We start from the raw sequence: 16,181 nt of genomic DNA, 5'->3' as shown, positions 1-16,181 counted from the left end.
GATTACAGGCGTGAGCCACCTCACCCAGCCTCATTCTGTTCTTTCTTTATTAAACAGAAGTCCTTAATATTAACGGAGTCAAGTGTATCCATCTTTTCCTTTGTGGTTCATATTCTTTTGTGTTTATTTAAGACCTCCTTGCTTTGGAATTTTAAAGCTACTTTCCCACATAGTATTCTAAATGTTTTATGTATTTGTGTTTTACAGAACAGTATTTAGTCTACCAGAAATTGATTTTTTGAGTAGGGAGTGATGTAGGGTTCCAATTTTATTTTTCCTCTTGGGATACAAGGATAACCTCTCATCCTTGTATGAGAGGTTTACTGACTATTCCATCTTTTCCCACTGATCTGCCTTGCTGTCTCTATCAAAACTCAAGTTTCCTTATATGGACAGTCTGCTTCTGAACTCTCTATCTGTTCTATTGGACTACTTTAAGTCAGTGCCACGGTTTTTTTTTTTTTAAACTGCTGTTTTTTGAGACAGGGTCTACCTCTGTCACCCAGGCTGGAGTGCAGTGCAATCTCATCTCACTGCAGCCTCAGGATCTCAAGTAGCTGGGACTGCAGGCACATGCCACCAAGCCTGGCTAATTTTTCCTTTTTTTTTTTTTTTTTTTTTTTTTGAGATGGGTTTCACTCTGTCACCGCAGCTGGAGTGCAGCGGCATGATCACGTCTCACTGAGCCTCAACCTCCCGGGCTGAGCCTCCCAAGTAGCTGGGACTATAAGCATGCATCACCACATCCAGCTAATTTTGTATTTTTTGTAGAGACAGGGTTTTGCCATGTTGCCTAGACTGGACTCAAACTCCTGGGCTCAGGAAATCTACCTGCTTCGGCCTCCCAAAGTGCTAGGGTTACAGACGTGAGCCACTGTACCCAGCCATTTTTACTATTTTCTTTTTATAGAGATGGGGTCTCGCTATGTTGCCCAGGCTGGTCTTGAACTCCTGGGCTCAAGTGATTCTCCTACCTCAGCCTTCCAAAGTGCTGGGATTATAGGTGTGAACCATCATGTGCAGCCTTAACTTTTGCTTTTAATTGACCATAAGAATTGTACATATTTATGGGGTACAGTGTTTTCATACAAGTATAGACTGTGCAATAATCAAATCAGGGTAATTAGCATATCCATCACCTCAAACACTGTTGCGGGAAGTCAGGGACCCTGAATGGAGGGACCGGATGGAGCCGTGGCAGAGGAACATAAATTGTAAAGATTTCATGGACATTTATCAGTTCCCAAATAATACTTTTATAATTTCTTATGCCTGTCTTTACTTTAATCTCTTAATACTGTTATCTTCGTAAGCTGAGGATGTACATCACCTCAGGACCACTGTGATAATTGTGTTAACTGTACAAATTGATTGTAAAACGTGTGTTTGAACAATATGAAATCAGTGCACCTTGAAAAAGAACAGAATAACAGCGATTTTTAGGGAACAAGGGAAGACGACCATAAGGTCTGACTGCCTGTGGGGTCGGGCAAAAAGAGCCATATTTTTCTTCTTGCAGAGAGCCTATAAACGGACGTGGAAGTAGGAGAGATATCACTAAATTCTTTTCCTAGCAAGGAATATTAATTTTAATACCCTGGGAAAGGAATGCATTCCTGGGGGGAGGCCTATAAACGGCCACTCTGGGAATGTCTGTCTTATGCAGTTGAGATAAGGACTGAGATACTCCCTGGTCTCCTGCAGTACCCTCAGGCTTACTAGGGTGGGGAAAAAATCCGCCCTGGTAAATCTGTGGTCAGACCGGTTCTCTGCTCTTGAACCCTGTTTTCTGTTATTTAAGATGTTTATCAAGACAATACGTGCACTGCTGAACACAGACCCTTATCAGTAGTTCTGCTTTTGCCCTCTGTCTTGTGATCTTTGTTAGACCCTTATTAGTAGGTCTGCTTTTTGCCCTTGGAAGCATGTGATCTTTGTACCTACTCCCTGTTCTCACACCCCTTCTCCTTTTGAAACCCTTAATAAAAACTTGCTGGTCTGATACTCAGGTGGGCATCACGGTCCTACTGATACGTGATGTCATCCCTGGTGGCCCAGCTGTAAAATTCCTCTCTTTGTACTCTTTCTCTTTATTTCTCAGCTGGCCGACACTTATGGAAAATAGAAAGAACCTATGTTGAAATACTGGGGGCGGGTTCCCCCAATAAAACACTTGTCATTTCTTTGTGGTAAGAATATTCAAAATCCTCTCTTCTAGTTATTTGGAAATAAACAATACAGTATTGTTAACTATAGTCACCCTACTGTGCAATAAAACACCAGAACTTATTTCTCGTATTTAACTGTAACTTTGTACCCATTAACCAACTTCTTCCCATTTCCCGCTATCCCCCACCACCTCCCCGGCCTCTGGTAACTACTATTCTACTCTCTACTTCTATGATACCAACTTCTTCAGATACCTGATATGAGTGAGAACATGCAGTATTCATTCTTCTGTGCCTGGCTTATTCACTTAACATTATATCCTCTCTGTTCATCTATGTTGTCGCAAATCACAGGACTTCATTCTTTTTTTTAATCACTGAATAGTATTCCATTGTGTATGTGCACCATATATATATATATATATATATATATTTTTTTTTTTTTTTTTTTTTTTTTTTTTTGAGACAGAGTCTGCCTCTGTCACCCAGGCATGGAGTGCTGTGGTGCAATCTCGGCTCACTGCAACCTCTGTCTCCCGGGTTCAAGGGATTCTCATACCTCAGCCTCCTGAGTAGCTGGGATTACAGGCATGTGCCAACACGCTGAGCTAATTTTTGTATTTTTAGGAGAGGCGAGGTTTCACTATGTTGGCCAAGATGGTCTCGAACTCTTGACCTCAAGTGATCCACCCACCTTGGCCTCCGAAAGTGCTGGGATTACAGGTATGAGCCACTGCGCCGGGCCATGCACCACATTTTTAATCCATTCATCTGCCAATGGACACTCTGGTTGATTCCACATCTTGGCTGTTGTGAACAGTGCTGCAATCAACATGGGAGTGCAGATATCTCTTTGATATGCTGATTTCCTTTCCTTTGGTTAGACAACCTGTAGGGGGACGGTTGGATCATAGGGTAGTACCATACTTTTATAGTATAGCATTACAGTAAGTCTATCTTATAGAGCAATATCCATGACCTTATTCTTCAAGAATTGCTTGGTTGTTCATGGCCTTTTGCACTTCTATATACAATTCAGATTCAACTATTCTAATTCCACCAAAAAACACCAAAAACCGTATTTTGGGGATTTTGTTTGGAATCATATGTCATTGTGGGGAGAATGGACATCTTTGTGGTACCTTATCTTTCTGTACAAGAACAATGGTATGTTACCAAAATAATATAACAATGGCAATATTGACATTATCAACTTAAATGTCTTTTAATTCTTTTTCAATAAAGGTTCATGATTTTCTCTCTGGAAACCTTGCATATCTTTTGCCAAATTTATCAGTAGCTCTCTACCACGTCTGATAGAGTTCGAATTTGAAAACCTAGGATTCAAATTTGAAAACCTATCTCCTAATTGAAAATGTATCCCCTAAATTAGCTCTATGGCCACTTTGCCAAGTTCTGTCCTGAGAAGTGACCCAACATAGCTTTTGTCTTTTCTCTCCGTCTGAACACACAGAAGAAAGGAAAAGTTAAGTGGGTAGCAGGGGAACGGGCCACTCATAATTTCTACTTAACATAGATTTTTATTTACCTGTGAGAAAATGATCTGCTCTAAGAGCATATACAATTTGGATATTTGCAGAGGTCTCAGATGAAATCTTCAGTGATGAGGCCACATCTATCCCGGCTCGCTCAAGGATTGTTGGTTGCATTGTTTCCATTACAACCCAGCTGGATCCTTGCTGGGTTCCTGCCAGCAGCTTCCACACACCTGGAGTGGGTTGGCTTTTCCTGCAGGTTTGCTTCTATGCCAGCTCCTGGGAGCAGTTGTCTACCAGGACACACCTGGGGAGCTGATAAACACACAAAAGAAACATGTCTGGCTCCCCAGCCAGATGGCAAGGCCTGAAACCCCTGAGCGTTTTGGACAGGTTTGCTTTACTGATGGGACAGCATTAACCCTGCTAACACCTGTGTTGGGGAAGCCTTCTTACCATGTCCCTCGGTGGCAGGGAGGGAGCCTACACACTTATTCAGGGTAATTTGCTCACCTGGACTAACCCCCAATGGGGATTTCAGCCTCCTACTTGAGTCCCTAAGAGGACAGGCCATTGCTTGTGTTTTTTTCCCCAAAGTAACAACAGGAGTCAAGAAAATCAATGAAGAGTATTCCTAGGCTGCGGAGTCCACTGCTGACAGTGGAAAGCCCTGTGCAGAGACAGCCACTTGCCACTGGGACAGGGCAGGATAGGGCACGTCCCAACCCAGCCTCAGTGGCAACGGAAGCCCTTGGGTGGGACTCAGCCACAGCCACAGCCACAGAGGAGGCTGGGCCTCCCACCGTCGCACTCCCTTCGTGATGTTGTGACTTCAGTCCCAGAATAGTTGAGGACGTTTGGGAAATTCACACTCTAAAAATATTTCATTTTTTCATATAGGCAAGATAACACAGCAGAGTGACAGTGGGTTACTAAGAATGCAGTTCCCTCGTTATGTAACATGGGCAAAAATAGTGTTTTGGGCCAAAATAGGGCTGAGAAAGAGGAATGTGAACAAACAGCATGGACAAGTCATTATTTACTCAAATCGTCCTGTGGCTGGGGGGGCTTTGGAAGAGCTTTGATGGTGTCCCATCTGGCCACAGCCGAGGCCACCTTTCTGAAGCAAAGTTTAATGGAAGCAAAGGTGTCTGTAGAGGAGGCTGTTTTAAGGCAAGGCCCTGGCCCAGCACACAGGCAGGCTGGGAGACTCCTGGATGAGTGAGGGACGGAGACTGCCTCCTGGGACACCATCCCATTTTGGGGCACATGCTGAAGAGGAGGGGCCATTCCAGAGCACAGGTCACACAGCGCTCCTGTCATGGGGCTTGTGGTGGGCTGGTGGCAGGGCCCAACCCTGAGGGCTGGGCCATGTCGCCACCCTCTCCGGATGGGGTCCCAAGTTGGGGGTCTTCTGGTTCAGCTGCATCCTTGGCTGCTAAGCTAAGGCCAAGAACGCTCCCTGCAAGAGGGGGGACTTTCCACTTTGGAGGGATCTATCCATGACCACCTGTCAGACATCACAAGCTTCCAGGGGAGGAGCTGGCAGAGAAGTTGTGCTTAGATGAAGTAGCTTGAGTTTGTGCTACAAGAACTAGCCAAGTTCCACTTTTGAGAGCCAAAGAAATGCCAGCGGCAGAGTCCCTGGGCTTCCAGGAGCTAATATTCTCAAACTTAGTCTCATGATGCCAGATGACCGTAAATTAGAGGCCAGAAGATTTAAACACAAGAGTGGGGCCTCTTTTGCCATAGAGGCATCGAGGCATCCATCCATCCAACCATCCATCCATCCACCCACCCACCCCTATCTGTTACAGTGTGCCCAGAAGAGAGGAGCTGGCAGTAGGGGCCAGGACAGTAGACGGGCCACCTGTTGGACTGAGGCAAATTGGCAGCTGCTTCATGACCTTCTCCCCTTCCACATCCTGCCCACCAATGCCTGGCAAGGAGCAATGCAAGAAACCCAAACCCCACCTGGTTTGGGGCAGAAGTTTTAAGTGCACCCACCCTGCTAGCAAAGGGGTACTGACCTTCCCAGACTGCCCTCGAGGCAGCCCCTTCTCTATTCTTTCCCAGTAAGAAGTATTTGCCTCTCTCTGAATGCATTTGCTCCTCTGCATAGACAGACACAACAGTCGCCTCTTAGTCCTCATCTTACTTGTCATCTCAGTGGCATTTGACACAATTGATCAATTCCCACCCTCTTGAAGTATGTTTTTTCTTAGCTTCTAAGACATCACACGTTTGGTTTTCCTTCTGCCTTAGTAACTATTTCTTCATCTTTTCTGCCAGTCTTTGTCCTCCTCTTCCTTTCTCGCTCAATCCCCAGACCTCTTCTGCTTGGGTGACCTCATACTGTCCATGGCTTAAGTACTATCTATGTTTCCCAATTTATTATATTATAAGCCCTAACCCTTTCCTTAAGCTCCAAACTTATATAGCCAACCGCTTGGGTATTAGTTATCTATTGCTGCATAATAAATTACCCCCAAATTTAGCAGTTTAAAAATAAGCATCTTACACAGTTTCTGAGGGTCAGTCATCTGGGAGTGGCTTAGCTGGTGGTCCAGGCCCAAGGTCCCTCCTGAGGCTGCAGTTACCTGCAGGCCAGGAGGATCCACTTCCAAGCTTACTCATGTGGCTGTTGGCAGGGACCTTCCATTCCGCACCATGTGGGCCTCTCTTTACGAACCAAAATAGAAGTTGCAATGGCTCCTATAACCAACCTTGGGAGTGACATACCAACACTTCCTCCATGTTCTGTTGTTCAGAGACTAACCCTGGTACAATGGGTGTGGGTCTGGGGGACTTCACAGGGTGTGTGAGTTGGAGGCAGGAGGCTGGCCACCACAGCCATCTAATAAACCTCTAAAAATTAACATGGCCCAAGCTCAAATTCATCACTCGCAGCAGCCCCACAACTTGCTCTTCCCTGTCTTCTCCATCGTAGTAAATGACAGCATCATTCACTCAGGTCCCAAACCTTCAAGTCATCCTTGACTCTCAGACCCTCACTGAATCCATTTGTAAATTCTGCACATTCTGCCTTCAAGATCTGTATCAAATCTGATCCCTTTTACCCTCCATGGCTACCACACCAGTCCAGAGTGCTCTCACCTCCCCTCGTCTCACTAGTTTCACTACTTCCACCCCAGCCTCTGCAGTGTATTTTCCACACAGTGGCCAATGGGATTTTTTTTTTTTTTTGAGACAGAGTCTCACTCTGTTGCCCAGGCTGGAGTGCAATGGCATGATCTTGGCTCACTGCAACCTCCACCTTCCAGGTTCAAGCAATTCTCCTGCCTTAGCCTCCAGAGTAGCTGGGACTACAGGCGTGCACCACCATGCCCAGCTAATTTTTTTTTTTAACTTTTAATAGAGACGGGGTTTCACCTTGTTGGCCAGGCTGGTCTCGAACTCCTGACCTCATGTGATCCGCCCGCCTCGGCCTCCCAAAGTGCTGGGATTACAGGCACGAGCCACTGCGCCCAGCCCCAAAGAGATTTTTAAATGTCACATCATGACATTCCCTGGTTCAAACTCTCCAATGGCTTCCCTTCTTAATCAAGAAAACAAATCTCAACTCCTACAGCTTTACACATCTGGCCCTTGCACGTGTGCAACTTTCTTTCCTGCCCCTCTTCCCCTCACTCCCCTTCAGCCACAGTGGCCTTCCTTCTGTGCTTCCCACGTGCCGGGTACACTCCTGCCTCAGGCTTTTCATTGGCCAATCCCTGTCTGCAGTCTTCTCCTAGTCATCTATATACAGGACTGCTTCCTCACTTCAGTCTCTGCCCAAGTGTCACTGCCTCGTAAGCCCCTCCCTTATCAAACCTCCTAGAAGACAGACTCCCTTCCTAGACCCACTGCTGACACTTGGTGTCCCACACTGTGAGCTTCCTGAGCACCAGGTCTTCCACGTTCTAGTCACTGCTGTCTCCCTGATGCCTAGAACAGTACCTGGCACATAGCAGGTACTCAATAAACATTTGCTGGACTAATGAATGAAATATAAACATAAATGCTTAGGGTTTTAAAATACCCCAACTTGAAGAAAAATCTGAATTATTACAGTGGTATAGGAATGTATGGGGGTAGGAGGGCCCTGGAGAGGCCATTTCACAAGCATGTGCACCTCTTAGGAGCACGGTCTCAGGCACACAGGTGGATTAAAAAACACATTGCAGTTGTAATTGCCACCTTTCTTCTAAGGAGCAGACAGTTTAGCTCAAGATATACGACAGCTGTATACTTTCTTAGCATCTCCTCTCCTGCCAGAGTGTGGCCTTTCTAAAACCCACCATGTCACTCCCCTGCACAAAACCCTTCAGTGACTCACTACCGCCCCAAAGGCAAAGCCCTAACTTGTAGCTGCGGCTTCCCCCGAACTTCTTGGTCTTGCCTTAGTTCACCTCACCATCTTCATTTCTTGCCCCTTCCCACTCTAGATACCACACTTCAGCCAAATAGAAATGTTGGCTGCCCCCCAAATAGACATTTTCCCTTATTTCTGGGATTTTGCCCATTCCGTTCCTCTGCTTGTAATACGCTTTCTGCCCCCTCCTGTCAGTTACCTTTTGCCCCAACTCTCACCCTAGAGTGGCCTTCTTCACAGTGGCTTCAAGGCTCCTGGCAAGAAGGGAGGGCAAGCCCCAATGTGCAAGGACTTGTCAAGTCTCTGTCTGTTGACCAAAGAAAGACATGGCCGAGACCAGATTGAAGAGGTGGAGAAATAAAGCACTTCACAATGAAAATCATGATTTCATTGCACACAGGGCTGGAGGAATGCCTGGTTCTCTGCAAGCCATTTCCCATACGCCCCCCATGCTTTCCCCAGTGCCTACTCAGCTTCTGGTCTCAATCCCAAAATCACACCCTCTGGGGTAATTTTCCTGATCCTCAAAGCCTGGGTGAAGAAACTCCTACAACACTTTATGACATTGCTGCATTTATTACTCCGTACTGCCAATGAATACATGAATGTAGGATTACATTCAATTATTTGTAGGATAAATGCAGGCCCTCCGATCCACACAGCAGAGTTGACTATACTCAACATTTTGTGGCAACGTGGTGTCAGTTTTCCCTGTAAGGGAGTGTGTTTTGGTTTCTGTTTTATCTTCATTGCTTGTACTGTACCTGACACAAAGTGGGTACTTAAATATATCTGTGAAATAAATACATAACTATCATAAAAATAAAATGGAGTACTTTAAAAAGGCACAAAGAATGTTCTTGAGACCACTGCCTTGTTAGGCTCAGCAGGCTGCAAACATTAGAGCTGAGACAGCACAAAACCACATGAAATTAGACTGAAATGCCTCAGCGGGAGAAAATGAAAGAAAACGCCACAGAAAGCGACACTTTCCTTTTATTAGATTCACAATGCCTTTGTAACGCCCAACCTCTCCTTTGTAGAATTTTTCTTTGTTAGAAAACAGACAAACTCTGTCCTTAGGAACCGTCTTCTACTTGGTACAGCACTGGCCTCAGGCCGCCTGCATCTGCGTGGACCAGTAAGAATGAAGTCCAGCAGCATAGAGAAAAGCATCATAAAGGCTGGGAGGTCATCCCCCAGGGCCTCCCCTACTTCACATACACAGAGACGTGTGCATATGTCACACACACACACATATTATATATAGATATGTATTTTTTTTTTTTTTTACAAAAATAACAGGGTTTGCACAGCTCTATTAATTTTTTAAAATTACACAGGCAAGGTTTATGCTTCAGTATAACCATTTTTACTTTGGATTTAAGTGGGAATTTTAGGCCTAAAAATAAGATTACCAAGCAGAGGCCATCTAGCCACACAGACACAAGACATCTTGAGCTCCATGAAACTAGAAATGTGGTGATGTCATCCTCACACGGGGGGGCTACACATCCCCATCGATTATTTTAACTAAAATACAAAAGCAAAATAGTGTGTTAAAATAATCCTCTACTCAATGCATTAGCACATATACCAAATTATACTATCTGCATGACAGTCTCTAGGTACCAAGACTGTATTTTTGCAAGTGCTATTCTCTACTTCATTAAATACAGTACCCAGCCAGCAACCACAAAAAGAGAACGCATGCTGTACAGCAAGAGAAGGGGAGGGAGACGATTTTCAGGGCCATAACTTCCATGGCAACCAAAAGAAAAATAAGTAAGACAAATCTCACATGACAGATATAAAACTAATTTGCAGTGACATTTGATATATAGTTTTATCAGAAGTAATACATTTAGGTTACAGTTACATGAAAAAGAGAAACTATGTGAAATTATAGGCTTTCTCCTAGAATATCCAAAATGCTCATCAACAGTTAATTAGTACAAGAAAGATGACCACCAGGTGATTGAATAGACAGAATGTCATGTAGTATTTTAAAAACACAGATTCTGGGACTAGAAGCTACCACCAAAATATCCAGAAATCTGAGTTAACAGGTCCTTTATTTTGCACACTTGCTGCTGATATATAGAACCACGAAGTGTTTGCACAGACCACGAATGCAGCCGCTAGCCTAGAGGCTGGTCACAGAAGAGAATGCGATGAACACCGTCCTGCCAGTGTGAGGACGGAGTGTCTGATGTGTTTGTGTCCCCCCACCACCCCCCCATATACAAAGGCCATCTCTAGGGCAGAAATCTCTCAACAGCTCAAGCCCATCCTCGCTGCCCCCTCCACGAAACGACACAGCTCAAGCTTGGTGCTGGGAAGTCTTTCCGATGCTGGTTTGATTCCTGATCACCCAACTGGACAGGGCCCTCTCCAGGACCTCCCAGGTTCTCCCTGGTACCTTCCCTCCCTCAGGAGGAGGCAGCACTGTCTCTGAAGCCACCAACGAGTAATGCTAGAAGAATCAGAAGAAGGAAGTATCTGATGAAAAGGCACCTGCAAGTCTAAAGTCCTCTTTGGTGAGAACACTGTACATCCGCTGAGGCAGAGCTTTGGAGTAGGGAGCAGGGCGCGGCACAGTGGTGCGCAAAATGAATTCCCGGCCAGCAGGGGGTGGGAAGTCTGACACGGAGTTCTGCCTTCTTTCCTCTGGGGAGCCCATTCTCTTCAATTCCTCCTCTGGTGGAGTCATAGCTGCAGCCTGGAAAAGAATCAAATGCTAAAGTCAAAAGCAGGTCAAATGCTAAACTCAGATGCTTTTGAAGGACAGATGAATTAACATAATAAAGATATGAAAATGTCCCACGTTACTCAGTAATGCAGTCAGCTATATGTTAAGATTACTCAAAAACCACATAACACAGCAAATGCAAGAAGCTTGAGACACTGCATGAGCAGCCGGGCTGGAGACAGACAGGAGGGATGATGACTGCCAGGCAATCTGCTCTGAAGAGAGAAGGCCATATTTACACATCTGATGAAAAAGGACCTCGGAGCTGTGCTGCTTTCTATGTTTCTTCCAGCAATGACCCAAGTCTACGTCTGACAGCCTCAGTCCAGTAAGGAGCTGTTTTTCTCCAGAGTGAAAAGATGATTTTCATCTTGACTCTGGGTAAGAATTTTTTAATCGATTCTTTTTAAGGTTCACTTGCCAAATTAAAAGTGGGGGCATTGGTCTTGCTTGCTGGGCAGCTAATGTGATGCCGAAGTGATAGAGGCCCATATAGCAATGACCACAAAAGAGAAGTTCGCAATATTAAAGGCATCTATTTTTTCATTGAAATGACATAAAATGCATGTTCATTTACAGCCTACAATTTTAATTCTGATTACTGTACTTTTTTTAATACCATCAATTTGGGAAAAAAAATTGTTTTGGCAATGGAAACATGAAATCATGTTGCGCTAAACATCAGCAAGGTAGGTAAGCCAAATCCAGACTGTGAGAGAGGTGGTTAGTGTTAATGACCTTATGAAATTAGAGGGATGGGAAGGAACAAGGAACTATGAGGGGCAAAGGCTATTTTGTTACCTCATCAGAAGATTCAGTCAGCTTGAGAAGGGGTAAGAAAAGAAACAGTGATGAAAGGGAAACAAGCAAGATGGTTTAAATAGGGCTAGACAAGGGAGTTCAGGATTATTTCAAAGACAGTATGCACTACATTATGGAACATGATCCTATCAAAAGAATATTCAAGACAAAGTCACACCAAACACAGCACACCCAGCTGTCAACTACAGCAGACATCTACTACTACTCATGCATCCATGGCTCAACAGGTGACATATGATGTCATTTAATGGGAGAAATGAACAACAAAAACCTAGCTCTTTTACTGGGAATTATGATGCAAAAAAAAAAAAAAGTGTTCATGGCTTGAAAAATAGAATTTAGGAATAGGTGCCTAACAGTTATTCAATCTAGCAAGTCTGAAGCGAAATCCAGTCAGTCATTTATTTGCTGAATTCCATTTAAGTATGTACATACCAGAGATACCTATAATCATGATAAGGCTTATTACTATTTATAATTTTAAAGAAAAGTTATAAATATATAGAATTACTATAAGCTATAAAAACACCAAGTGAAATTACATCACAACTTTTTAAAAAAATGTGTTAAAATCTTGACTAATTAGTAAAATTGATATAAAGTATCAGCTAATGAAAAGTTACATGAATAAATTCTAACAGTTTACTTCAGCCAGACATTTAAAACTGAGTTTAAAAATGTACCAACCAGATGCTTGTTATATGTATTACACAGTCTACCAATTCCCTAAAAACATTCACTACAAGGTCTGAAAACTTTAAAATCTTTTCTTAAATGACATAATGTAGATGGATGTACAATTTCAGTAGCCATTAAGGGGGTTAGCTATACAATGAGGCTACTGAAAGATGATATACTATGTTCCTGTATTTAGTGATTTTGAAAGATATCTTAAGTATATTAAGTGGAAAACAAGAATAATGAAGTAATTATATAATATAACCCTACTTTTAAAATTATATATACATATGTATATACTAGATGTTAAATCATCAATGGGTAGTGAGATTATGTGATTAATATTTTCTTATAATTTTCTAGGCCAGGTGTGATAGCTCACACACACCTATAATCTCAGCACTTTGGGAGGTTAAGGAAGGAGAATTGCTTGAAACCAGGAGTTCTAGATAAGCCTGGGCAACAAAGTGAGACCCCGTCCCTACAAAAAATATAAAAATTAACTGGGCGTGGTGGTGCATGCCTGTGGCTCCAGCTTCTTGGGAGGTTGAAGCAAGAGGATTGCTTAAACCTAGGAGTTCAAGGCTGCAGTGAGTTATGATCTTGCCACTGTACTCCAGCCTGGACCACAGAGTGAGACCCTCTCTTTAAAAAATGAATAAATAAATATAAAAGTTCCTATATTGTCAAAGTTTTACTTGCAGTCAGTAGAGGGGGTAAGGAGGTTATTTCTATTTTGGGGAAAATAATTTTGCTTAGTTATCTAAAATAAGTAACAATCTCAGGACTAAAAATATAAATACTTCACATTTTAAATCCTCTTAACACATAACTTTTTTTTTTTTTTTGAGATGGAGTTTTATCACCCAGGCCGGAGTGCAGTGGCATGATCTCAGCTCACTGTAACCTCTGCCTCTCGGGTTCAAGTGATTCTCCTGCCTCAGCCTCCCAAGTAGCTGAGATTACAGGTGCTCACCACCACGCCCAGCTAATTTTTGTATTTTTAGTAGAGAAAGGGTTTCACCACATTGGCCAGGCTGGTCTTGAACTCCTGACCTCAGGTGATCCACCCACCTCAGCCTCCCAAAGTTACAGGCGTGAGCCACCGCACCCAGCCAACATGTCACTTATTAAAAATGATCAAAGAGGAAAGAATTTTTGCAATATGAGGAACATTCATATTGGTAGCTAACAAGGAAATGCGCTTGTAAGCTTCTGGGTAGTGAACTGGATAGATATTATCAGATGTGGAACCAAACTCGGTTCTTGTTTTCATGCCAGAGAGAAAAACAAAATAAATCAAAGCAAGCATCTATTGTTTGCTAGAAGTCTAATTTATAAGGAAATAAATATTTGGTTATTAATTTGAAATTCTGAGGTTTAGGGAGCTGCCCCATAAACAAACTCAGATTTTAGCTCTTGCTAAGAATTCCTATCAGTGTATTTGGCTATGAATTTGAATATATTAACTAGTTGTACTCCAGACCAACTCTACAGGGATTATCCAGTTGTTATTCCACGTGTAGACACATAGAAATTCTTTTTCTTATTTGTTTCTGAAAATTACACTCTCAAAACTGGGTCATTCTAGTGTAATCACAGTGCCATATAAGGGGAAGCGTGTAATTAGTGCACATAACGCCTTTATCAGAATCCCTAATATTAATGAGCCCTGAACTGAGAATTATCTGTAGGATGCCAGAGCCCTTAGCCAGTAACCAAGATACAATATAATTTTAAAATCTTTACTTTCACTACTAGAGGTAATGGTTATGATAATTTTTCAAACTGGGCTTTCTTTCTGTGCTGAAATCTGTTTCCACAGCCCTAAAAATCTGAAGTTTTCCTCTTCTTTTCTAGGAAACCTCAAAGGTAGATCTCCTCACCATTACAAGAACAATTATATTTATAATTCAAGCTGAGTTGTGACTCCACTTTGCCCTACATGGGGTTTAAAGATGGTAAAACTGAACTCCATTCTCATTTGAAAGTACCTGTGAGTAAACATTTTTTCCCACAGCACAGCACTGGCCATTGCTAACTGACTCCCTGCCAGCTTCTATAACAATGGATTTTGGACTCTTCTAATTTTTAAAATTTAGGTCCTAGAATATACTTATCATTTTAATTCAACATGTAAGAAATCAAATGGATTTCGAAGACTCAGAAGTCATTGTTTCTTCAGTGTTCAAACCCAATGCCCAGACTTACACTCAGGTGACATGAGTGTGATCAGCCACGTGTGGGAACTAAAACAGCCTCTTCCCAAGTAGAGGTTTGGAGAGATTATGATGGAGTCAATAATGACTCTCACATACCCTCTGGGCATTCACAAACAGCTTGTGAATGATCCTGCCAGCATGTCCTCTTCCTGCACCGGTGACTAACACTTCAGGCTGCTCCAGCAGGCAACTCACAAACCTAGGAGACAGAGACAGGCAATGAAAGGGTGGAAAGTGAGCTGTCCAGGCCACTGGGCGTCCATCCTCCCACAGGAGTTTTGTGGACAAATCCTCAAGCTGATACTGGCTAAACCCAACAAGGTTGGAGTGAAATTTTACAGCAAGATAAGATTGACATTTGGAATTATTATCGACTTAACTGACAATCTTCCTGCTTTTTCACCTGTGCTCATAAAAAATGTTTAAAGCCTATCTCTGTCAAAGTGTAAGAAAAAATATTCAGTCTATTTTTTTCAGACTAGAAGCTTAGAAAATGCTACAGTTAATAAAAGATGAAAAAAAAATTGTATAATATAAACCAAGTTATATTTATCCAATAAAAGCAATGATCCATATTTGTTTTTGTTTTTTTTAAGGGGTATGTGTCTGTGTGTGCACGCACACGTGCACATATGCTTAAAATACTTGTGTTGGGCAAAGTCGCAATTGTAAACTGTGCCATTAGATGCTGGAAACACTGAACTTCCAAGTATGTCACAGATAACGTATGGTGGAACTAACAGAGTTGAAGGCACAAAGCCACCAAACCTGCACCACCTGCTCACTAATTCATACTCTACTATTTTAGAAACGAGTCCCTTGATTAGAGCTTATTCTTCTCATTTAAAAGGAAGACATTTTCAAGAGCAAAGCAGTGTGGGAGAAAACTTCACCTAACAAAAGACATAAAATTCAAACACAAACTTGTTAAAAGACAGCAAATGCCTTGCCATACAATATTAATTATTTAGCATCAATAATGCCATTTATTATGGAAAGGCTAATGAAAATTTTTAAATGATGACAAATTTAAGCCACTGAACAAGCTAATTTGTGAACACTTTATCACACATTAAAACAATATTGTCCTTCCAAATAACATGGGCAAAAAATGAACAGGGCCTCACACTGATCTAAGCTCCATTGGTAATGGTGCCGAGTCTCATAAAGAGAATGCCCCAATCATTTGCTTCATCTGAGAAAAGCCATCTGGTCAATCTTTCAAAACATAATCGCAAGGCACATAGGATGTGCACCTTTGCTATCACAAATCTTGTTTAAAATAAACAACTAGGAACAGTAAGCAGAAATGGTTTCAGCACCTGCACCCTGTGGTCAAGGAATAGTAACAGCTGAAAACAAAGTTTTGGGGCAGGGTGAGCAACACAGTTAACAGCTCCTCCACAAGAAATTCCAGACACCACATCTCCAAGAGCAAACCAAGGAATCCCTAGAAAAGGAGGCTCTGGGAGACTGTTTCTAAAAGTGGGAAGAATGGAAACACCTGGTAGAGACTCAGAAATACGGGAGAGGTCAAATGCTATGATAATTATTTCTGTCTCTAGACAATGCTTGTTTCAAATAATATATGATTACCACAAAAGAGTCTTAATATCCTATTACAATTTTTCTTAAGAGAGTGGTGGCTTTTCCTACTGCAGACAAAAC

General features: G+C 42.6%; 1 protein-coding gene across 6 annotated transcripts in view; it reads right to left on the bottom strand.

Moving 5' to 3' along the window:
- RAB3GAP1 (RAB3 GTPase activating protein catalytic subunit 1) overlaps positions 2,910-16,181 on the bottom strand; it is a 124,105-nt gene continuing 110,833 nt past the window's right edge. For 2 of the 6 annotated variants that reach the window (XM_011510823.4, XM_047443732.1), the window contains 3 exons: positions 14,610-14,712; positions 10,557-10,761; positions 3,690-3,979 (listed from right to left, as the gene is read on the bottom strand). In XM_011510823.4, the coding sequence (XP_011509125.1) occupies positions 3,819-3,979; positions 10,557-10,761; positions 14,610-14,712 (469 nt within the window). In that variant the 3' untranslated portion in view covers positions 3,690-3,818. Of the gene's footprint in view, positions 3,058-3,689; positions 3,980-8,595; positions 10,762-11,592; positions 11,614-14,609; positions 14,713-16,181 lie in introns of those variants that run through there. The other 4 variants (XR_001738674.3, NM_001172435.2, XM_011510825.4 and 1 more) reach the window with 4 other exon arrangements.

This window comes from Homo sapiens, chromosome 2 (genome assembly GCF_000001405.40).
Source record: "Homo sapiens chromosome 2, GRCh38.p14 Primary Assembly".
In the NCBI taxonomy this organism is placed as follows: domain Eukaryota; kingdom Metazoa; phylum Chordata; class Mammalia; order Primates; family Hominidae; genus Homo; species Homo sapiens.
The sequence above is the reverse complement of the archived record's forward strand: the minus strand, read 5'-3'. Positions and strand labels throughout refer to the sequence as shown.